We start from the raw sequence: 24,798 nt of genomic DNA on the forward strand, positions 1-24,798 counted from the left end.
CCGTCTCTACTAAAAATACAAAAATTAGTTGGGTGTGGTGGCACACGCCTGTAGTCCCAGCTACTCAGGAGGCTGAGGCACGAGAATCACTTGAACCTGGGAGGTGGAGGTTGCAGTGAGCTGAGACTGCACCACTGCACTCCAGCCTGGGTGACTGAGTGAGACTCTGTCTAAAAAACAAACAAACAAAAACTTTTACAATAAAATTACATGAACATAGCCTGGAACATTATAATTAGATGCTATAATCCTTATTCACAATGACGTAATATTTTAAGATATTCTAAAGCAAGCCTCTCTTGGATTTATGGAGAAAATAATAGCTACTATTTGGAATGTCTAGCGGGTGTCAGGCAGTTACTTCTTGCTTTATAGAATATATAATTAAGTTCAATCCTCAAAACGACACTATAAGGTAAGTACTCTTTTTACATTTGCTTATCTGTTGAGAAAACAGGATTGGAGAGGTTAAACAACTTGCCCAAAATGCCACAGTTAGTAAGATACTGAGGTAGAAACTCAAACAGGCCATGATCATTCTAAACCAGGGTTTCTCAAAAGCAACACTACCGACGTCTTAGGCCAGATCATTGTTGTGAGGAGTGATCCTGTCAGTGCACTGTAGGATGTTGAATAGCAACCCTGGCTTCTACTCACTACATGCCAGTAGCACCCTCCTCTCCCAGCTGCAACAACCAAAAATATCTCCACACACTGCCAAATATCTCCTGGGGAGCAAAATCACCCCCAATCCCACAATATTGTTCTTAAAAAAAAAAAAAAGGCCGGGCGCAGTGGCTCAGGCCTGTAATCCCAGCACTCTAGGAGGCCGAGGCGGGTGGATCACGAGGTGAGGAGATCGAGACCATGGTGAAACCCCGTCTCTACTAAAATTAGCCGGGCGCGGTGGCGGGTGCCTGTAGTCCCAGCTACTCGGGAGGCTGAGGCAGGAGAATGGCGTGAACCCGGGAGTCGGAGCTTGCAGAGAGCCGAGATCATGCCACTGCACTTCAGCCTGGGTGACACAGCGAGACTCCATCTCAAAAAAAAAAAAAAAAAGAGAGAGACAGGGTGTCACTTTGTCACCCAGACTGGAGTGCAGTGGTGTGATCATAGCTCACTGCAGCCTCAAAATCCTGGGCTTAAGTGATCCTCCCATCTCAGCCTCCCAAATAACTGGGACTACAAGTATGCGCCACCATGCCTAGCTAATTTTTAAAAGTTGTTGGGCACAGTGGCTCATGCCTGTAATCCCAGCACTTTGGGATGCCGAGGTGGGCGGATCATGAGGTCAGGAGTTCAAGACCAGCCTGACCAACATGGTGAAACCCTGTCTCTACTAACAACACAAAAATTAGCTAGGCGTGGTGGCGCGCGCCTGTAATCCCAGCTTCTTGGGAGGCTGAGGCAGGATAATGGCGTGAACCCGGGAGTCAGAGCTTGCAGTGAGCTGAGATCACGCCACTGCACTCCAGCCTGGGCGACAGAGCGAGACTCTGTCTCAAAAAAAAAAAAGAGAGACAGGGTGTCACTTTGTCACCCAGATTGGAGTGCAGTGACGTGATCATAGCTCACTGCAGCCTCAAAATCCTGGGCTTAAGTGATCCTCCCATCTCAGCCTCCCAAATAACTGGGACTACAAGTATGCGCCACCATGCCTAGCTAATTTTTAAAAACTCTTGTTGGGCGCAGTAGCTCATGCCTGTAATCCCAGCACTTTGGGATGCCGAGGTGGGCGGATCATGAGGTCAGGAGTTCAAGACCAGCCTGACCAACATGGTGAAACCCTGTCTCTACTAACATTACAAAAATTAGCTAGGTGTGGTAGCACGTGCCTGTAATCCCAGCTTCTTGGGAGGCTGAGGCAGGAGAATCGCTTGAACCCGGGAGGCAGAGGTTGCAGTGAGCCGAGATTGAGCCCCTGCACTGAAACTTGGGTGACAGAGCGAGACTCCGTCTCTAAAATAAAATAAAAAAATCTCTTTTAGAGATAGGGTTTTGCTATGTTGCTCAGGCTGGTCTCAAACTCCTGGCCCCAATAGACACTCCTCCCTCATCCTCCTGAGTGGCTGGGATTACAGGCTCAAACCACTATGCCTAGCTCAAGAACAACTGTTTTGAACTGAAAAGAATGTACAATTTTACAATCTTATTTTTATGTATTCAAAAATCTTTAAAAATCATTACTGATCAAAATACAACATAAAAGAAAGATTTAGTGATAAAGTAACCCAAAACTTCCTAGAGCAAGCCTTTATCATAATGGATAATAAACTTTTTAAACCTGTGTTTCTCAAAGTGTGGTTGGTATAAAGGAGCTTGTTAAAAATGCAGACTTTGGCCGGGCACAGTGGCTCATGCCTGTAACCCCAGCACTTTGGGAGGCCGCTTGAGCCCAGGAGTTCAAGACCGGCCTGGGCAACATAGTGAGACTCTGTCTGTATTTTATAAAATTAAAAAAAAAATGCAGACTTCTGGCCAGGCATAGTGGTATGGGCCTGTAGTTGCGGCTACTCAGGAGGCTGAGGTAGAAGGATCATTTGAGCCCAGAAATTTGAGGCTGTAGTGCACTATGATTGCACCTGGTGATAGCCACTACACTTCAGCCTGAGCAACATAGTTAGATTCCATCTCTAAAAAAAAAACAAAAATCAAAATCCATATTTCTAGATTTCATCCCCCAGTACATTTGATTCAGTAAGTCCAGGGCAGATTCCAAGAATATTGAATTTTAACATGTTACACATGTGATTCTTTATATACACTGAAGTTTGAGAATCACAGCTCTACATTCTGATTCTTATGGGTTAGGACTACATGTTATATAAATTTCTATGGACAGCAAAGGGAAATTAAATAAACATTAAGTGAACCAAATGATGAATAACAGGAAAAAGCATGCCATTTCTAATAATAAACCAACCCGTGATCCTCCTGGAACGGTTGAAGAATGTGATATTCTACTTAACTCAAATATAATGCCTTAATACTTCCTAGACACTTCCTTCACTGGTCCTCTTTTTTGTCTTCTTTAGTTAATAGATTTATAAGGGAATTTCTTGTTTTCTCTCTCTCTCTTTTGTTTCAATTTAGAGACAGGGTCTCATTCTGTTACCCAGGTTAGAGTTCAGTGGCATGATTGTTAGCTCACTGCAGCCTCGAACTCCTGGGCTCAAATGATCCTCCTGCCTCAGCCTCCTGAGTAGCTAGGACCACAGGTGCATGCTACCATGCTTGGTTATTTTCTTTTATTTGTTTGCAGAGATGGGGTCTTGCTATGTTGCGCAGGCTGGTCTTAAACTCCTAGGCTCAAGCAATCCTTCCACTTTGGCCTTCCCAAAGTGTTGGGATTACAAGTGGGAGCCACTATGTGTGGCCAGGAATTTCTTCAAATTTGAATTGAAAGCTTTCTTGATCAGGGTAAATCTCTATTCCTAAAGAAGCTTTTTCCTAAGGGTGCCTCTGGTTCTTTGTCAAGAGCCCATTATTTGGGTATGGAAAGGCATGGTTGAGAAATAAAAATTTTGTTCCTCTATTGCCACTACACTAAATCCCACTATTCATTTTCCAGATTCTTCTTTATCTTCCAAAGTCACAACCTTCAAATGGAAAAGTTAAAAATTTCACCTGTGCACTTCAGATCATTCTAATAATACTTGAAAATTATTAGGAAGAAACATATCTTCCAAAGACTATAACATGTAAAGATAAGAGGTTTATCAAGTGAACTGCTCAGCAACTCCAAAAAAGCAATTAATTCGCAAACAACTCCTAATGCAAATACTTTTCCCGCTAATAGTTTTTTTGAGACAGAGTCTTGCTCTGCCACCCAGGCTGGAGTGCAGTGGCACGATCTTGGCTCACTGCAACTTCTGCTTCCCGGGTTCAAGTGATTCTCGTGCCTCAGCCTCCTGGGTAGCTGGGACTACTACAGGCGTGCACCACCACGCCCAGCTAATTTTGTACTTTTAGTAGAGACAGGGTTTCACCATGTTGGCCAGGCTGGTCTCAAACTCTTGACCTCAGGTGATCCATCCAACTCGGCCTCCCAAAGTGCTGTGATTACAGGCATGATCGACTGTGCCCGGCCTCCACTAATAGTTGTTAAACATTCAAGAAAATATACTGATCTAAAGCTTTCAATTTGTATTGGATATATTTTTTATAAAACAAATTACAGGCTTACTATGAAAAAACACATTGAATTTACAAGATATTCACAATCAATTTATTTCCCTCCTTCTCCTTGGCGTACATTAGTCTATTTTCTACCATTCAAATAAAACAAAAATAGCAATAATACTCCCAATTGAAATACTTACCAACAAAGTAAAGTAAGTTTAAAGTCTTTCTCTTCTCTTGAAACATTTTAACTAGTATGTCCAAAAAAAATCACCTCACTACTAGAAGGCAATGTCTCTAATCCTATTTGTAATAATCAAGTGTTATAGAAATCTATAACTATAAGAGATTAAGAGGACCAAGAAAGGGCAGTGAGACATCAGTTTAATTTCATCTTACCTGCTTGCATAATATTTAACTTGATTAGCTCTACCAAAGTAGCTTAAGCTTTAATAACCAGAAATTGTCCTATTGTCACTATCACTCATCAAAAATGGAATATAGGATCTATTAATTACGATTTAAAGCTAAAATCTGATCCTGCCATTCAAATTTCTTTTGAATTTCAGAAGCAAGAAAGCTAAGTATTACCAGTCTGAATTCCTCTAAAATGCAACTTTCCCCAAAAGCATGTTTCTTAAAAAAAATTCTGTGGGTACACAGTAGGTATATATATTTATGGGGTACATGAGATACTTTGATATAGGCATGCATTGCATAATAATCACATCATGGTGAATGAGGTGTCCATGCCCTCAAGAATTTATCCTTTGTGTTACAAACCATCCAATTATACTTTTAATTATTTTAAAATACACAACTACATTATATTATTATTATTATTATTATTTTGGGACAGGGTCTGGCTCTGTCACCCAGGCTGGAGTGCAATGGTACATCTTGGCTCACTGCAGCCTGTACCTCCCAGGCTCAGGTGATCCTCCCATCTCAGCCTCCCTAGTAGCTGGGACTACAGGCACACACCACCATGCTCTGCTATTTTTTTTTTTTTTTTTTTTGCTAGGAACACGGTTTTGCCATGTTGCCCAGGCTGATCTCAAACTCCTAGGCTCAAGCAATCTGCCCACTTTGGCCTCCCAAAGTGCTGGGCTTACAGGTGTGAGCCACCACGCCTGGCCTCATTCTTTTTTAAATTTAAATTTAAATTTTTGTGGGTACATAGTAGGTGTGTGTGTATGTATGTGTACATATATATGTACATATATATATATATATTTTTTTTTTTGACATGGAATGACTCTGTCGCCCAGGCTGGCTGGAGTGCAGTGGGGCGATCTCGGCTCACTGCAAGCTCTGCCTCCCGGGTTCACGCCATTCTCCTGCCTTAGCCTCCTGAGTAGCTGGGACTACAGGCGCCCGCCACCACGCCCGGCTAATTTTTTGTATTTTTAGTAGAGACGGGGTTTCACCGTGTTAGCCAGGATGGTCTCGATCTCCTGAACTCGTGATCCGCCTGCCTCGGCCTCCCAAAGTGCCAGGATTATAGGTGTGAGCCACTGTGCCCGGCCTTAGGTGTATATATTTATGAAGTACATGAGATGTTTTGATACAGGCATGCAATGTGCACTCATCACATCATGTAAAACGAGATATCCATCTCCTCAAGCATTTATCCTTTGTGTTACAAACAATCCTATTATACTCTTAATTTTTTAAATCTACAATTAAATTATTATTGACTATAGTCACTCCGTTGTGCTATCAAACAGTAGGTCTTATTCATTATGTTTTTTGTTTTTTGTTTGTACTCATAAAGAATCCCCACCTCCCACCACCACCCCCAGCTTCTGGTAGCTATCATTCTACTATCTCCATGAGTTCAAGTGTTTTGATTTTTAGCTCCCACACGTAAGTGAGGATATGCAATGTTTGTCTTTCTGTGCTCGGCTTATTTCACTTAACATAACGACTTCCAGTTCCATCCATGTTGTTGCAAATGATAGGATCTCATTCTTTTTTATGGCTGAATAGTACTCCCAAAACTTATTCGTGTCTTTGTTCTAACCATCAGGGTTTATTCATAAAAATTCTTCATATTTTCACCTTTCCTAATCATCTACCAGTCTTCAGATGTTAGTATGAAGTAGAACAAAACAAATTCTTAGTTAAGGTATACATTTCCAACTCCCTCCTTAAATTAAGAGATCTGGAACAGATCTGGAAATATAACGGGCAGATAATTACTGAAGAAGACAGTGAACAGAGAAGTGAGCATTTTTAATCCTTAAATGCCATCTGCTCCATTATCAGTTCACGTACTTCCTGGATAGAGCTAAAATCTATCCTTGTCCCCTTTCCTTAGTTTTTAATTTTTTGGTGGTGTCTCCATTTAATTGTTCTGCAACTGCTACTAAGCCTGTTTCTCTAATCAGATATTTTCTAGAGAACTGCAGGGTTTTTTGCACATGTGATACTTTCATGAGTCATTTCTCAAAGCAAAGTTTTTCCAATGATAGCCTGCCTTGTTAAACATCCCAAAAAGATCAACTGCAAAACATTTACCACCCAGAGGAATATAATCTCACTTTATTTTCTAACATTTACTTAACATCTTCTATATGCCAGGTACTGCATTAGGTACTTCACATCCCTCATCTCATTTAATTTTCACAATAGCCAAAGAAATCAGCATTTTTTCCATTCTACTGATGAGGAAAATGAGACTCAGAGTAACTTGTTAAACATCATTGGGGGTGGATTAAAGCATATCCTCTTTAAAACTACAGACTTTTTTGGAAAACTGGGGAGGGAGATCTATCTGCCATCCTAGCATTATGATGACCATTTTTATTATGCTTCAGTATGCATTGCGTGTTCATCACTTTCCACATTTCATATTATTATTATTATTATAGATTCCCAGAAGTAAAGAAATATGAATAATTTTATCAAAGACCATGCTTCTTCATTTTTATCATGCTGCCTCTCTAAGATAACACCAGATGCGAGGATGAACAACTTCCCTTCCACAACAGGGGGAAAGGATTCACCATAAAATAAAACCAGTCGCTGCAAAAACAAGCCTTTGTTGCCTAGCACAAAACATAGGCTTTGGAACTAGACAGACCAGTGTGGGATCCCAGCTCAGTTTCTTAGAGCTGTGCTTCTATGAGCAAGCCCCCAACCACCCTCTTGCTTACTGTCAGTTCCCTCATCTATCTATCTATCTATCTATCTATCTATCTATCTATCTATCTGGGGTGGGTAGAGATGAGTCTGGCTATGTTGTTCAGGCTGGGCTCAAACTCTTGGCCTCAAGGGATCCTCCCATCACCTCAAGGGATCCTCCCACCTCAGCCTCCCAAAGTTCTGGGATTATAGGCATGAGCCACCATGCCTGGCCAGTCCCCTCATCTTTAAAGTCCCCTTATCTTTCGAAGGGGTTAATACTTACTCTGCAATGTTAATGTGTGTATTATAGATAATGAGTGTAAACTATAGTGCCTGGCATGTAGAATGCATTCGATAAATATCAGAGAATAAATGGCTGGGCTCAGTGGCTCACGCCTGTAATTCTGTCACTTTAGGAGGTCAAAGCAGGAGGATTGCTGGAGGCCAGGAGTTTGAAACCAGCCTGGTCAACATAGTGAGACCCGGTCTCCACAAAACATTTTTAAAAATTTAAAAAGAAAAATAAGTCCACGTTCCAATGAAAACATTGTTAAAGGTATAAATAATAAGCAGGGTAGCATTCCATTTAGCAATAGACAACTATGAGGAACTTGAGTGATTTTTAATCATATTTATTTAGGGGAGGTATCTTTTAAAAAGAATATACATATATGCACACTTTTTTTTTTTTTGAGACAGAGTCTCGCTCTCTTGTTCAAGCGATTCTCATGCCTCAGACTCCTGAGTAGCTGGGACTACAGGCATGTGCCACCCTGGCTGGCTAATTTTTTTTGTATTTTTAGTAGAGACGGGGTTTCCCCAAGTTGGCCAGCCTGGTCTTGAACTCCTGACCTCAAGTGATCCACCCGCCTCGGCCTCCCAAAGTGCTGGGATTACAGGCGTGAGCCACTGCACCCAGCAAAAAATAGATTTTAAGATCAGACATTACCCTATTATTTAAAGTCAAATTTATTATAGTAGATAGACCTGGAATTTTTTTAAATAATGTTTTCAAAAATTGACAAAAAAATGTTCTGCAACAGAACACCCATATTTTGAAACTGTGTCTAAGGAGTATCATAGTAGTCTTTTTAAAGACAGCCTAAACCATTCTCAGAGAGGGAAGGAGGAAAAACTAAATCATCTTTAGCAGCCTATATAAATTCCATGCTTACTGATGAGAAAATCCAATTTTATGTTGTGAAATCTAAGAAAACCTACAACTGAAAGAACAGATTCCCGGCTGAACACAGTGGCTCATGCCTGTAATCCCAGCACTTTGGGAGGCCAAGGTGGGTAGATCACTTGAGTCCAGGAGTTCAAGGCCAGCCTGGACAACACAGCAAAACCCCATTTCTACAAAAAATATAAAAATTAACTAGGCATGGTGGCACATGCCTGTAGTCCCAGCTGGGAAGTCTTAGGTGGGAGGATCACCTGAGCCCAGTGAGGTCATAAGGCTGTACTGAGCTATGATCATGCCACTACACTCCAGCCTTGGCAACAGAGTGAGACCCTGTCTGAAAAAAAATTTTTTTAAATATATATATACATTTATAAAAAGAAAGAACAGATTCCTGATTTTATATAAGTACACAGTTAATCTGATGTTTGTTGAGGACATTTTGACAGAAAATGCTGGATGTGAGGTAAAGAAAAATTAAGAAGTTTTTGCATTCAAGATGCTTACAGTGTTAGGGCAAAGACTGGCATATAAACAAGGACAATACAGGTCAGGCATGGAGGCTCGCTCCTGTAATCTCAGCACTTTGGGAGGCCAAGGTGGGAGGATCACTTGACCCCAGGAAGTAGAGGCTGCAGTGAGTCATGATAGTGCCATTGCACAGCATGCAGCCTGTGTAAGAGGCCCTGTCTCCAAATAAATACATACATACCTACAATGACTATATGCTGTGCTGAATTCATCTCAGTTCACCTGGAGGCACCAAGAAAACTTTAGCCGAGGAAGAAAGAAGATACTGTTTGAGCTAAGACTTGAAGAGTAGGAATCTTCAGGTGAATGAAAGGGTGGGGTAAGAGAAAAGGAAGATATTCTCGCATAAGTCTTGTACATGCATGAAAAGGGTGAATGTACTTCCAAGAGAGTACAGAAAGATCAAGGAAGGCATGTAATTTATTGCCTTAACATAAAATTCACCATATTGACCATTTTAAAGTATACAATTCAGTGCTGATTCCTTTAAAAAAAAAACAAAACCTATTTTCAGCTAGGCTGTTGTGCTTCCAGTTCAGTGAGAGAGTCAATGAATAAATATAATTTCACTGGTAGAAATGCTAAGTTTTAAAAAGCCTTCACTTTTTAATTAAAAAGAATAAGTGGACTAGGCACAGTGGCTCACACCTGTAATCCCAACACTTTGGGAGGCCAAGGCGGAAGCAACACTTGAGCCCAGGAGTTTGAGACTAGCCTGTCAACACAGAGAGACTCCGTTTCTACAAAAAGATAAAAAAGTAGCCAGGGATATTGTGGCACATGCCGGTAGTCCTAGATATTCGGGAGGTGGAGGTGGAGGTGAGAGGATCACTAGAGCCCAGGAAGTCGAGGCTGCAGTGAGCCATGATCCCACCACTGAACTCCAGCCTGGGCAACAGAGCGAGACCCGGTCTCAAAAAAAAAAAAAAGTGGTCATCGTGGAAATTCAGGTAATACCAGCAATACCAGCATGTAAAGTAAAACGTGAAAACGTTCCCCTCATCGATAATCCCAACTGCCTAGAGATAGCCACTGTTAAGGTATTGTCATGTATCCTTACAGAGATTTCTCTATACATACACATATACTTATATATAGGGGATGCTGTTGTTTTTAACATAAAAAATTTCTAAGACATAAAATTATGCATTGCTCTGCATCTTCTTTTCCACATAACCATAGCTTAGGATCCTCCCAAAGAAGGACATCAATTTCTAGTTTCAGTGTCTGAGCCTGCTCACTTCACGATACTTTTGACAATTGTATATTTTTATTGTACTCTTTGCCAATCTAATAAGCAACTCATTAAGTTTAACTTCCTAGCTTAGTTTTTCTTCTTATGGAATAGTTCAAATACTTAGAAACATAGAGAAGATAGCTTTCTTTCTTAATTCAGCTCAAGTAGACAAGTATCTGAAGTGCTTAACTGGTATTTTTAGAGTATGTGCACAGTTTTTCTCTATTAGAGGAAGCACAGAATGTACAGGAAATAGAGTTAGAATGACTGACGTAGGGTTTGAGTCCTCGTTCATTTTCTAAATTTAAGACTCTTTTTCTCATCTATAAAATTAGAGGGTATAAGTAATTGCTAGTAGTCTTAAAGTCCTAAGAGTATAGGACTCCAAATCACAAACGTTTGAAAACGCATTGTTAAAATTCCTCTACCTGGATTGCTTAATGGTGAGAATACTGTATCTCCTCCACTTCCTAAAGCCTATGAGTTCCACAAGATCTTAGTTTTGTTCATTTATGTATATCAAGTGCCTAGAACATTGCCTAGCATGCTTACATTTGTGGAATGATTGAAAATGGTTAGGAGCTTTCAATCTGGTAAATTGCCTTGAAACAATTATTTGGACAAAGTAATAAATCTGGCATAATTTCACTCTTTGGTCTAACTCTCACACTCCTGAAATGAAAATGCTAGAAAATAGAGAACTCTTACACATCATTCAGGGAGTTACATCGGCCAGCAGTATAGAGTCTCAGATATCCTACTCCTGGGATCTAAAGTCGAACTCCCCACCCCCAACACCTGACGGGGCCCACACTCAAAAGTGTCAAAACTCATAGCTATGCACATTCACAAGACTGTAGAAGTCGGGCTGTCACCTACGCTACTCCACTCTCAGATTCTACATCCCCAGAAGACAAAGAGTTACAGTTCCTTCTCTCACGAATTCCACAACTCCGAAAACCGCGTAATTGAAGCCACCAAAGGCATAGAAGCGGCAGGGAAAGGGGGCTGGGAAGAGGCGAACAGACCCTCTTAAGCCCCAGTCATTGGGAAAAGCCCATGCTGCTGGAAACCGCGTTCTCACCTCCTTCTTTCTTTGGGCAGAGGCTGAGGGAACGTCGCAAACGATGAGCAGCGCCACCACCATGGTCACAGAGACACACCAAAACCGCCAACGCGCTGCCATGTTCGCTCCTCTCCCTTCTATAAGTGAAACTTTGCTCCGGCTAGGTCTGAGGGTGGGGCGTGAGAACAGGCAAATCGGCCCCTTGCCTTTCCTCATTGGTCCAGCTCAGCCCTGCCGGGAGACCCCTCACATTACGTCACAGCGCGCTGGCGCTACACGCCCGCTAAAAGAAGGTTGATTTCTAATTGGCCCCGGTCGGCCAATAGAAAAAAGATAATCTGGAGCGTTTTCATTGGTCCGCTAAAGATAATGACCCGCCCCTTTCTCGATACGTAAACATCTAGCGCGCTGACGCTTTCCAAGCACGCATGCGCAGTTGTGAAATATTGCGGAGTTTTCGGAGTCCAAAATGGCTTGAAGTTGCTAGAACAGAATCTTTCAAAGACTCATTTAGAAGTCCTTGAAATTCGCCGCCTTCATGTAATATTCTAGAAAAATGGGACCTAGCCGCGTGAGGGATAAGAGCTATTTAGTCCGTTATCCTGCCTCCAAAGTACTTCAAAGTGAAAAAATAAAAGTAGGAAAGCAAAAATATACCTAATACCACTGAGGGAAATTTTTAAAGGTAAATATGAACAAGAGCTTGTTGAATACCTATTGTGTCCTAGAAACTGCCAGGAGCGCTGAAAAAAGAGGACATCAAAGATTATTTTTTAAAGTTTTTGTTTATTTATGGCTTTTTTTGAGATGGAATTTCGCTCTTGTAGCCCAGGCTGGCGTGCAGTGGCGCCATCTCGGCTCACTGCAACCTACGCCTCCCGGGTTCAAGCGATTCTCCTGCCTCAGCCTCCCGAGTAGCTGGGATTACAGGCGCCCGCCATCACGCCTGGCTAATTTTTTGTATTTTAGTAGAGACGGGGTTTCGCCATGTTGGGCAGGCTGGTCTCGAACTCCTGACCTCAGGTGATCCGCCCGCCTCGGCCTCCCAAAGTTCTGGGATTACAGGCGTGAGCCACCAAGCCCGGCCGGCTTTTTTTGTTTGTTTTTTCAGTTAAACTCCTTGACTTAATATTTAAAGCACCAACAAGGACTTTAATTGCAGGTTATAGACAGCAAATTCCTTCTTTTTATTCATTATTTTGTTTGGGGGATGGGTACAAAAGTAAGGTTGTAAAGAAGGAAAACACCAACAAGATAAAATCAATCTGCCTACAATTTGGATTTATTTTGATGGTGTGGAAAATATTATATGACTATTATTTTAGGCGCTACTGGATAAAAAAACCAGGAAATTAATTTCAGTATGTTGGAGAGACAAGGAGATGGGATGGAAAGAAAAATAGCTGGTTCCGAAGTGAAGAGATGTGAAATACAGATGTGAAAAAAAGTTAAATCATTTATGGAAACTTATATTAAGAAAATGCAGGCCGGGTGCGATGGCTCATGCCTGTAATCTCAGCACTTTGGGAAGTCGAAGTGGGTGGATCACCTGAGGTCAGGAGTTCAAGACCAGCCTGACCAACATGGCAAAACCCCCGTCTCTACTAAAAATTTAAAAATTAGCCCGGTGTGGTGGCGCAGGCCTGTAATCCCAGCTACATGGGAGTCTGAGGCAGAAGAATCGCTTCAACCCTGGAGGCGGAGTTTGCAGTGAGCTGAAATCGTGTTATCACACTCCAGCCTGGGCAACAAGAGCGAAACTCAATCTCAAAAAAAAAAAAAAAGGAAAGAAAAAAGAAAAAATGCAAAATAAAAGTACACTGAGACATACTGTATGATTCAATCTATATATGACATTCTGGAAAAGGCAAACTCATTGGTACAGAGAACAGATTAGTGGCTGCCAGGGGCTAGGGGTAGGGAAAAGGGTTGATCACAAAGAGGTCAAACAAGGGTGTTTTTATGATGCTAGAGCTATTCTGTCCTTAATTGTGGTGGTGGTGACACAATTGTATGCATTTGTCAAAACGCATAGAACTGTACACCAAAAAGTGAATTTTACTATGTGTATGTTTTAAAAATAAAAATTTTAAAGTTTAAAAGGGATATCTTACCTATCATATTGGCAAAAATCCAAAAGCTTGACACTACATGCTATTAGCAAGGCTGTGGGGAGTCAGGCACCCTTTATATTAATACGTTGCTGGTGGGAAGGCAAAACGTTACAACATCTATAATTTGGCAATATCTAAAAAAACTACACATATATTTATCCTTTAATCCAGCAATCCCACTTCTAGTAACCTACCTTGGAGAGAGACATCCAGCAATATGAAAATATGTGTGCACAAAGTTATTCATTTCAGCATTATTGAAATTGAAATATTCTTGAAACTACCTAAATATTCCAACATAGGAGATTGACTGAATATACTATAGCACATATACACCACAGATTTTGCAGCTGTAAAAAAGGAATGAGGAAGACTTATGTAAAATGATAATGGATTTTTATGCTACATTTGTATAAAATAGAGAAATAAGAAAACATACAGGTATTTGCCTATTTTTGCAAAAGGAAACACACAAGATAAACCAGAAAGTAATGAAATCGGTTACCTATAGGAATTGGTGGAAATGGAATGCAACAGTTAGGGGAGGGAATGACACTTCTCTAAGTACACTAGTCTGTTTAGTTTTGACTTTTGGAATAATGTTAATATTTTCAATAGTCAAAATGTATAATCAAAGCATTTAGTTTTACACGATGAAAAAGTCTTAGAGATGAATAATGGTGATAGTTGCACAACAATGTGAATGCCATTAATGCCACTGAACTGTATGTATTTTATTTTTTTTGTTTTGGGACAGGTCTCAGGCTAGAGTGCAGTGGTGCGATCTTGGCTCACTGTAACCTCCGCCTCCCCGGTTCAAGCAAGTCTCATGCCTCAGCCTCCCGAGTAGCTGGGATTAGAAGCATGTGCCACCATGCCCAGCTAATTTTTTGTATATTAGTAGAGACGGGGTTTTGCCGTGTTGCCATTTCTTTTCTTTCTTTTTTTTCTTTTCTTTTCTTTTCTTTTTTTTTTTTGAGACGGAGTCTTGCTCTGTCACCAGGCTGGAGTGCAGTGGTGGTATCTTGGCTCACTGCAACCTCCGACTCCCTGGTTCAAGCGATTCTGCCGCCTCAGTCTACAGAGTAGCTGGGATTACAGGCACATGCCACCACGCCCAGCTAATTGTTGGTATTTTTAGTAGAGATGGGGTTTCACCATGTTGGCCAGGATGGTCTCGATCTCCTGACCTCGTGATCCGCCCACCTCGGCCTCCCAAAGTGCTGGGATTACAGGCGTGAGCCACCGCGCCAGGCCTAACAGCTTTCTTTTCTTTCTTTCTTTTTGAGACGTAGTCTCGCTCTGTCGCCCAGGCTGGAGTCCAGTGGCACGTTCTCGGCTCACTGCAACCTCCGCCTCCCGGGTTCAAGTGATTATTCTGCCTCAGCCTCCTGAGTAGCTGGGATGACAGGCGCGCGCCACCACGCCGGCTAATTTTTGTATTTTTAGTAGAGACGGGGTTTCACCATCTTGGCCAGGCTGGTCTCGAACTCCGACCTCGTGATCCGCCCACCTTGGCCTCTCAAAGTGCTGGGATTACAGGCGTGAGCCACCGCGCCCGGCCAATAGCTTTCCAAAGTTATTTTATCACGTATTTATCTACATATTACAGAAGTTTTTACTGTTCTTGCAACTTTTCTCTAAACTTGACGTTATTTGAAAACTAAAAGCTAAGCCAATTAGTATAGTAGTAATAGCAGACAAAAAAAATGAGAGAAGTAAAGGAAGTTTTGGGGGAACAGAAAGAAGAAAGAGCTAGTGTGGAGATACTAAACCGAAGCTTGTGGAACTTGAACGCCATTTTGAAGCTAGTTCCTTAGACGATTCGGTCGAAGATCTGTCTCTCGGCTGCCCTCTATAGAGCTCTAAACCTGGCTTCAAGGAGTTCTTTCATTCTTCATTAGATACCACCCACCATACGTCATTTTATAAAGCCGGAAACTACATTTCCCAAAAGGCCTTTATTTTTCCTCGCGGGAAAAGGGATTGCAATTACTATAGGTTTTACAGGTATCGCGAGATTTCGTCAAATCTCATTACGGATCCCGGCTGAAAGCCATTTTGTTTTTCAGCTCACTTCAAGGGTACCTGAAGCGAATTGGCACCAAAGCAGCAGCTGTATTGCCGCAGTTCTAGCTTCACCTTCACGATGTTTCCCTTGGTCAAAAGCGCACTAAATCGTCTCCAAGGTGAGCAAAAATTATGACAAATCATTTACAACAACCTTATATCAATGTGTCCTCGCGGCCTCTCGTGTGCTTTCCTTTTACGAACATCTCGGCCTTCTAATCTTGAATGCTGTCTGTCTCCCATCTCGTCCCAAGTCATTGGGATGATGTCCTTAGCATTGGCTTTATCACCCAGTATTTCTGTTTCGGTTTCCAGCTCTCTTTCTGTTATCGGAGTGATAGTCTAGCCCTGCTTTTTAATTCTTCAGTAACCTTTGATTTCAGGGAAGGACATTCTTGGTAGACACCTCGTTCCTTAAGTGATGTCCTACATTTTAGCTTTGGGGATATGTTTACTCCTAACCCTGTATAGAAAAATATCTTCTCCAATTCCTATTACTGTAATAGACGGAAACTGTAAATCTAGCTCTTCACCTGGTTTAATTGCAGGGAAACAACCCAAATGGTATCGATGCAGCTTTGAAGTTATTTGTGGATTAACAATGTTAGCTGGCCAGGCGCGGTGGCTCACACTTGTAATCCCAGCACTTTGGGAGGCCAAGGCGGGCGGATCCCCTGAGGTCAGGAGTTCGAGACCAGCCTGGCCAACATAGTGAAACGCCGTCCCTACTAAAAATACAAAAATTAGCCGGGCGTGGTGGTGGGCGCCTGTAATCCCAGCTACTTGGGAGGCTGAGGCAAGAGAATCGCTTGTACCCGGGAGGCGGAGGTTGCAGTGAGCCAAGACTGCTACTGCACTCCAGCCTGGGCAACAAGAGCGGGACTCCGTCTCGAAAACAAAAACAAAACAATGTTAGCTGTCCTGAAGGCAATCGTGGTCATTTTTTTCTTATCCAAAGGTTGGGCAGGTACAGGGAGTTTTGAGACCAGCATTATGTAGAGAAAATGCAATAGATTGAGGAGAACAAATTAATTTTCATACTTGATTTGCACCGAAGGTGACCTTGAGTAACGTGGGCAGTTGTTACACAATGAAGGTGACCCGTAATTACTATTTAGTTTGTTTAGCCATCTTTTGATTTTCACTTAATAGAATCATTGGAGGATATTATTAGATTGTGTCCTAAACTCTTAAGCAACTTTGAAAATAACCACAAAATATTAGCTGGACTATTTTCATATTCCCAAAGTAGCATTTATTATCTCTTTTACTTTGGGCATATGATTTAGCCTCTCTCAACCTCAGTTTCCTTCTTTGTAAAATAAGTAATTTGTAAATAATGCCTACTTCATGGGGTTGTTGAGGATTATATGAGATCACCAATGTGTGGTAATTAAACAGTTGTCACAGAGGAGAGGTCTGATGAAATCCACCAGAGTTACATGAGTGTGTTGAAGTTATGAGATGTTGCAGAATTTTTTGGTAGTCTTAATTTCTTTGCTCTTTGAGCAAATAGGGCCACCTTGTACCTCAGGAAAGGTTTTTTGTTTTTTTTTCAGCGTGGAATTCACATGCCCACTTTTTATCTTTTCTGGAGCAGAATATATTATGAAATATTTGTAAATTTGCCTATCCCGGTGTGACTAAAAGATGAAAAGGGAAAGCTATGTAAGACAGTTAGAAGATCTGATAATGGTCTAATAACTATCATGAAGTAACCCATTGTACCATGTAGAAATATTCATTGCTAGTGAATGGGCAACATTGCAGTTTCTTTTTTTTTTTTTTGAGACAAAGTTTCGCTCTTGTTGCCCAGGCTGGAGTGCAGTGGCTCAATCTTGGTTCACTGCAATCTCCGTCTCCTAGGTTCAAGTGATTCTCCTGCCTCAGGCTCCCTAGCTTTTCATTATATATGTAAGTACCTTTGGAGGCTCTTTAAAACGATAAGAACCTGCCCCTTAAATTGGACAGGAAGAAAAAAAAAAACAGCTAGAAACAAGCTTTTTCCAGTCTCGGCTGTTTCCCAAGCCCTCCTTTTTAGTTCTTCCAGGGGCCGTTTGAAAACTTTTGTTCTTCTCTTTCTACTGGTATAATACTAACAGCAAACTTTATCATTCTGCTCAAAAACTAAGTCCTTAGCTAATTCTGCTTCCTTGTACGATACTGATTTTTATCTACATGTGTAATCCTCTAGACTGGAAGTTACTTGAGGACAGGATCTCTGTCTTATACTTTTTTATATACCCCATTTCTCATTTTTTATTTTTAGGGACAGAGAATTGCTCTGTTACCCAGGCTGGAGTGTAGTGGTGTGATCATAGCTCACTGCATCCTCTAACTCCTGGACTCAAGTGATCGTCCGGCCACAGCCTCCTGAGTAGCTGGGACTACAGGTGTGCATGCACCACCATGCCCGGCTAATTTTTAATTTTCAATTTTTTTGTAGAGACAGGGTCTCACTATGTTTCACAGACTGGTCTGAAACTCCTGGCCTCAAGCGATCCTCCTACCTTGGCCTCCGAAAGTATTGGGATTACAGATGTGAGCCACTGTGCCTGGCCCATTAATTTTTTAAAAATCAAGATTACTCTAGTTGTGGCGAGTTTTTTTGTTACTGTAGTAATTTTACAGTCATAAGCATTTAGTGTGCTTTAATTTGAAGTTCATTTGAGTTCATTTGCCCTTGTATGTTGTAAGTTGTTGGGCTCTATTGAGTAAACTTTAATGAAAATTTAAGTCATAAGTATTCAAATTAATCAATGGGAGCCAAAATTTCAGGGGTTATGCAAATACCACTTTGTAGAGAATGTTACTGACATCATTCATTCTTTGCTTTTTTCCCCCAACACTATTATGAAAACTCTCAGACATACTGAAGAGTTGGAAGAATCGTATGAACACCCATATACCCACCACAAAGATTCTACAGTTAACATTTTGCTATTTGTTTTATCATGTATTTGTCCATCTGTCAATTCATCTTATTTTTGTTGCATTTCAAAGTACACTGCTTTAATAGCTACAATATGTTTTAACATTTTATTGAACTACATAATACTGTAAAATTAACTTCCTTGGCTTTCCTGATTGGCAGTATCAATCACATATGTTTTCTTTACCTGACAATTGATAATATGCTTCTGTATTCTTTTTTCGTTTTCCTGTAAGTTCGAAGCATTCAGCAAACAATGGCAAGGCAGAGCCACCAGAAACGTACACCTGATTTTCATGACAAATACGGTAATGCTGTATTAGCTAGTGGAGCCACTTTCTGTATTGTTACATGGACATATGTAAGTACTATTGATTAATAATTTCTGTTTCAGATGTTTTTCATTCTCAGTCTATGCATTCAAAGTGTCTTAACATAGTAGTGTACATATCTAGTTAGGAGGGACTTGAGAGATTGTGTAATCTAATTACCCACACAGTGCAGGGGATTTTTTCCCCCCAGCATTCATCCATCTTCTGTTCTTAACATTCCCAGTAATAAATTGCTTACTGGATCACAAGGCAGCCCTTTCCATCTTGTGTAGCTGTTTTTTTTGTTTTTGTTTTTTTTTTTTTTTAAGAAGAAGTCTTGCTGTGTCCCCCAGGCTGGAGTGCAGTGGTGCGATCTTGGCTCACTGCAACCTCTGCCTCCTGGGTTCAAGCACTTCTTCTGCCTCAGGCTCCCAAGTAGCTGGGACCACAGGTGTGTGCCACCAGGCCTGGCTATTTTTTTTTTTTTTTTTTTTTGAGACGGAGTCTTGCTCTGTTGCCCAGGCTGGAGTGCAGTGGCGCGATCTCGGCTCACTGCAACCTCTGCCTCCTGGGTTCAAGTGATTCTCCTGTCTCAGCCTCCCAGGTAGCGGGATTACAGGCGCCCTCCAGTACGCCTGGCAGATTTTTGTATTTTTAGTAGAGACGGGGTTTCACCATGTTAGTTAGGCTGGTCTTGAACTCCTGACCTCAGGTGATCCGCCCGCCTTGGTTTCCCAAAGTGCTAGGATTACAGGTGTGAGCCACTGTGCCCAGCCTTGTGTAGCTGTTAAAAGGATCATATGGTGAGTTAAAATCTGCCTTTTTCCTATGCTACCCATTGTTCATTGAAGCACAGAAATTCTGACCCACTTCCATATAACAGCCATCAGATAATAGAAAATTGCTATCATATCTCCTCAATTTTCTTTTTCAAATTAAACATCCTTAGTTCTATCAGTAATTTTTTTGTTCATGGTTTCCAGGATTTTTACTGTCTTGGATCGCCTTCCTGGACATAACTTCACTTAACAATTTTTCTTTTAAAATTTTACACTCAGAACTTAGCACAGTATTCGTGACAGATGAGATGTAATGTATCTTTTTATATTTTAGTTTCTTTACATCTTACATTTAACAATCTATCTTTCAGTCACTGTTACTTACTGGCTAAAAGTAGGAGTCCTGAAGTCTGTGTTTTTTTTTTTTGTTTTGTTTTTTGTTTTTTTTTTTTTTGAGATGGAATCTTGCTCTGTCGCCCAGGCTGGAGTGCAGTGGCGCGATCTCTGCTCACTGCAAACTCCGCCTCCCGGGTTCACGCCATCCTCCTGCCTCAGCCTTCCGAGTAGCTGGGACTACAGGTGCCCACCACCATGCCCGGCTAATTTTTTGTATTTTTAGTAGAGATGGGGTTTCACCGTGTTAGCCAGGATGGTCTCGATCTCCTGACCTCGTGATCCACCCACCTCGGCCTCCCAAAGTGCTGGGATTACAAGCGTGAGCCACTGCGCCCGGCCCGAAGTCTTAATAAATGCATAAGTTGGTTTAAAAAGATACAAATTAATCCTTAATGTAATAAACTTTATTTAAATAAATAGGCCTTTTTAGTTTTTGTTTTGATCTTCCTGAAATCAAATATTAAGATGTGTGCCTAGGCTGGGCATGGTGGCTCACGCCTGTAGTCCTAGCACTTTGGGAGGCCCTGGCGGGTGGATCACCTGAGGTCAGGAGTTTGGTACTAGCATGGTGAAACCCCATCTCTACTAAAAATACAAAAATTAGCCGGGCGTGGTGGTGGGCACCTGTAGTCCCAGCTACTTGGGAGGCTGAGGCAGGAGAATCGCCTGAAGTTGGAGGGGGTGGAGGTTGCAGTGAGTTGAGATCGTGCCACTGTACTCTAGCCTGGGCGATAAAGCGAGACTGTCTCAAAAAAAAAAAAAGTCTCAAAAAAAAAATTAAAGTGTGCTTAATTAGAAGGATAAACAGATGTTGAACAAATGTTTGATCAGAGGAGCTTTTGGAGGTGAAATGTTCCTTAGTGATACAGAGAATATAAAATACTCTGGCAGTTACTTAGGTAGTTGTGGTTGAGGGAATCAGTGTATTGAGTGGGTAGTATAGAAATGTGAAGTATAAATTTGAATTAAATAAAATTTAAAAATTCATTTCCTTGGTGATACTAGTCATATTCCAGGTGGCTAGTAGCCACATGTAGCTAGTGACTACTGTTTTTAACAGTGAAGATCTAGAACATTTCCTTCAGCTCAAGAAGTTCTATTGAACAACAGGACTGCTCTAGAAAATTAGGACAGCAATCAGGTTTGGCCTATATGGAGGGTATTAGATCCCAGGTGAGTTTCTGTGTATTTTTAACCTATAGAACAGAATATCTGTCATTTTCAAGAAATAGTCTCCGAGAGAGTGTACTCTGGTTTAAACACGTAACTGACAGCATTTTAATTCTTACAGGTAGCAACACAAGTCGGAATAGAATGGAACCTGTCCCCTGTTGGCAGAGTTACCCCAAAGGAATGGAGGAATCAGTAATCATCCCAGCTGGTGTAATAATGAATTGTTTAAAAAACAGCTCATAATTGATGCCAAATTAAAGCACTGTGTACCCATTAAGATATGGCATTATTGAAGAAATAAAGTACATTTGAAACCTTCATTGTAGGTTTTGTTTCTTTGTAAATGAAACTAAGCTTGATCACTTTAGCCTTTATGTTAATATTAAAGTCAAATGCTGTGCAGCTTCTTAAATAGGTTTTTTTTTTTTTTTTTTTTTTTTTTTGGGACGAAGTCTCACTTTGTCCCCCAGGCTGGAGTGCAGTGGCACCATCTCAGCTCACTGCGACCTCTGCCTCCTGAGTTCAAGTGATTCTCCTGTCTCAGCCTCCCGAGTAGCCAGAACTACAGGCACATGCCATGACGCCCAGCTAATTTTTTTTTTTTTTGAGACGGAGTCTCACTCTGTTGCCCAGGCTGGAATGCAATGGCGTGATCTCGGCTCCTGCAACCTCCGCCTCCCGGGTTCAAGCGATTCTCCTGTCTCAGCCTTCCAAGTAGCTGGGATTACAGGTGCACGCCACCAGGCCCGGCTAATTTTTGTATTTTTAGTAGAGACGGGGTTTCACCATGTTGGTCAGGCTGGTCTCGAGCTCCTGATCTCGTGATCCACCCACCTTGGTCTCCCAAAGTGCTGGGATTACAGGTGTGAGCCACCGTGCCCGGCAATTTTTGTATTTTTAGTAGAGACAGGGTTTCACCATATTGGTCAGGCTGGTTTCAAACTCACGACCTCAGGTGATCCGCCTGCCTTGGCCTCCCAAAGTGGTAGGATTACAGGCGTGAGCCACGGCACCCAGCCCTTAAATGGCTTTTATGAGGTAATGTGAAAGGAAAATTTGCCTTTGACCTGGAAGTCAACTTTATAGTAAGCTGAAATTATAAATAACTGATCATGGAACTATTGCAGATCACCTTTGAGCCAAAAATTTGGCCTGGATTTTGGTTATGCCTACTACTATGTGCCTCTCATTTGTATTTATACCTGGAATTGGCATTATTAACTCCTTTTCACTCCTGCCTAGAAAACTTAAAGTGTCACCAGACCCAAGGGCGGAGTGGTCCTATAAAACAAACTCGTAGCCTGTCTGAAGACTAGCTACTAGCTCCTTGGCTGTTTTGGCATATTCATCTTGATTATAGCTCTTGGTCTTTCATCATATTAGGGATGTTTATGATGTTATTAAAGAAAATCTTGTCAAATGCAGTCTGTTCCTAGTTATCTACTATCAGTCACCTGTTGTATAATTATAACAATGTTTGGATTTGTGGATTATTATTTTAGTATATAACATTGGATTTTATGTATGTTACCTGAAGAAGAGCAATATCTGTACCACATATTTCTTTGTTTTTCTTTTTTGAGATGAAGTCTCACTCTGTTGCCCAGGCTGGAGTGCAGTGGTGTGATCTTGACACACTGCAACCTTTGCCTCCCGGATTCAAGTGATTCTCCTGTCTCAGCCTCCCTAGTAACTGGAATTACAGGCGCCTGCCACCATGCCTGGCTAATTTTTGTATTTTTAGTAGAGATGGGGTTTCACCATGTTGGCCAACCTGGTCTTGAACTCCTGACCTCAGGCGATCCACCCACCTCAGCCTCCCAAAGTGCTAGGCTTACAGGCATGAGACACCGCGCCCGGCTTATATATCATTACTTTCTTGGCTGAGAGCTGTAGTCTGTGGTAGTTGTTTTGTTTTGTTTTTTGTTTTTTTTTTGTAGTTTTCTTGATCGTGATCAATTAAGCAGAAAGTAGAATTTCAGTCAGGTAACCTGTCTATATTAGCTAAATTATCTTTTGCTTATTACATAGAGTGCTAGAAGTATGCTGTCATGGCATATGTCCTAGTTTCTCATCAAATGGACCAAAGTCAGTGATTTTATTTGAAGAGGAAAAATTGAACGTCATTGTAAATTAAGTTGCAAGTTTAGTAACCATATTGTACCACTGTTTGATAAATTTGAACGCTTTATGGTATTTCATATTTAGAATGTTCAAAATAGTACTGAAGTATTCAAATACATACAACCCTGAGCGATATTGAAGTAAAATAAACATGTATTTAAGGAAGTGTCAACCTTCAATTATATACCTTTTTGTCACTGAATTAACACTTATTTCTCACGACGTGGAAGCAGTTTCAGTATGGTTTGTACTAAGCTAAGTGATAGTTGTCATCTGTATGACAATTTAGAATGTTTTCTGTGTCCATTTGTGATCAAAATTATATGTTGCTTTGTGTGATAAAACCTGGTGGTGGTAGTAACTTTGAACACACTTTTTGAACTTAATTTTGTAGTTAATCTTATCCTGATGAGTAATTCTAAAACTTATGACCACTACTAGAAATGAAGCAGTTTTTTGTGTGTGTGTGCCATCACAGTATATACTGACCTTGGAGCTTTCCTAGTGCTCTCAGAGCCATGAAAATATCCTTTCACACAAATTTTCTCAACTTACCCGTAACATCGCTTTGAGTTTCAGTCATACCTAGAGTTGGAAAGTCGTCAAATTAGTCCTCTGTCCTCAAGTATCTGTAAGTCTGAAGAATTTAGGTAAGTTACTTACCTTAAAATCATTGCCAATCCTTTAAACTCTATTTGGATGGCTGTGAAATATTTTAACATTAGGGTTAATGTCATAAATCCCATTCTTTTTTTTTTTTTGAGACCGAGTTTTGCTCTGTCATCCAGGCTGGAGTTCAGTGGTGTGATTTTGGCTCACTGCAACCTCCGCCTCCTGGGTTCAAGGGATTCTGCCTCGGCCTCCCAAGTAGCTGGAATTACAGGCGCCCACCATCACACCTGGTTAATTTTTATATTTTTAGTAGAGACAGGGTTTTGTCATGTTGGCCAGGCTGGTCTCGAACTCCTGACCTCAGGCGATCCACCTGCCTCGGCCTCCCAAAGTGCTGGGATTACAGTCGTGAGCCACGGTGCCCAACCTCATAAATCTCATTCTTAATTTCACTCTAGGACAGAATTATTGTAGCACCTGTGTTCTGTTATTTTAGATTCATTTTAACTTACCTAGACACGGGTACTGTGGTAGTTGTAGAGGTACAGATGTTGAGTTCCCATCCTCCTGGCTTAATGTCACTGGGGTTATTAATACACTTCATAAGCATTTTAGGGACACCTGCTGTCTGCTCAACCCCCAGCAAACCTGATTATTTCTTGAAGACATTCCCTTCTATGCTTGTGCATTGGTAAGGAGGATTAGGGATGATGCATTTAAAGACAAGAGTTTTAGGCTGGGCCTGGTGGCTCATATCTGTAATCCCAGCACTTTGGGCAGCTGAGGTGGGAGGATCATTTGAGGCCAAGAGTTCGAGACCAGCCTGGGCAACAAAGGGAGACTCCCATCTCCACACACAAAAAAATAAAAACTAGCCAGGTGTGGTGGTGTGTGCCCATAGTTCCAACTACTTGGGAGGCTGAGGTGCAAGGATCGCTTTAGCCCCGGAGTTTAAGGTTACAAGGACCTATGATCACACTTCTGCACTCCAGCCTGGGTGACAGCAAGACTCTCAA

General features: G+C 41.4%; 2 protein-coding genes and 1 pseudogene across 3 annotated transcripts in view, besides 2 other annotated features; 2 read left to right on the forward strand and 1 right to left on the reverse strand.

The window, feature by feature from the left end:
• MAGT1 (magnesium transporter 1) overlaps positions 1 to 11,549 on the reverse strand; it is a 69,822-nt gene extending 58,273 nt beyond the window's left edge. Inside the window, exon 1 of one of the 2 annotated variants that reach the window (NM_001367916.1) lies at positions 11,290 to 11,416. In NM_001367916.1, the coding sequence (NP_001354845.1) occupies positions 11,290 to 11,391 (102 nt within the window). In that variant the 5' untranslated portion in view covers positions 11,392 to 11,416. Of the gene's footprint in view, positions 1 to 11,289 lie in introns of both variants that reach the window. The other variant, NM_032121.5, reaches the window with a different exon arrangement.
• On the forward strand, positions 1,358 to 1,615 carry RN7SL460P (RNA, 7SL, cytoplasmic 460, pseudogene; annotated as a pseudogene).
• Positions 11,163 to 11,412: an enhancer, noted in NCBI's record as "active region_29781". NCBI's record gives its function as "activates an Ori minimal core promoter by ATAC-STARR-seq in GM12878 lymphoblastoid cells {active_cell/tissue: GM12878}" and the evidence as "EXISTENCE:reporter gene assay evidence [ECO:0000049][PMID:35858748]".
• Positions 15,403 to 15,652: an enhancer, noted in NCBI's record as "active region_29782". NCBI's record gives its function as "activates an Ori minimal core promoter by ATAC-STARR-seq in GM12878 lymphoblastoid cells {active_cell/tissue: GM12878}" and the evidence as "EXISTENCE:reporter gene assay evidence [ECO:0000049][PMID:35858748]".
• Positions 15,449 to 23,357, forward strand: COX7B (cytochrome c oxidase subunit 7B). The gene is made up of 3 exons (NM_001866.3): positions 15,449 to 15,574; positions 18,624 to 18,748; positions 21,165 to 23,357. The coding sequence occupies exons 1-3, from the start codon at positions 15,535 to 15,537 to the stop codon at positions 21,240 to 21,242; spliced, it is 243 nt and encodes an 80-aa protein (NP_001857.1). The 5' UTR covers positions 15,449 to 15,534; the 3' UTR covers positions 21,243 to 23,357.

This window comes from Homo sapiens, chromosome X, assembly GCF_000001405.40.
Source record: "Homo sapiens chromosome X, GRCh38.p14 Primary Assembly".
Classification (NCBI taxonomy): Eukaryota; Metazoa; Chordata; class Mammalia; order Primates; family Hominidae; genus Homo; species Homo sapiens.

Coding starts and splice junctions, on each gene's coding strand:
- COX7B (NM_001866.3), top strand. CDS start 15,535: ATGTTTCCCTTGGTCAAAAGCGCACTAAATCGTCTCCAAG. Junction 15,575..18,623: donor CGCACTAAATCGTCTCCAAG/GTGAGCAAAAAT, acceptor TTTTCCTGTAAG/TTCGAAGCATTCAGCAAACA. Junction 18,749..21,164: donor GTATTGTTACATGGACATAT/GTAAGTACTATT, acceptor TAATTCTTACAG/GTAGCAACACAAGTCGGAAT.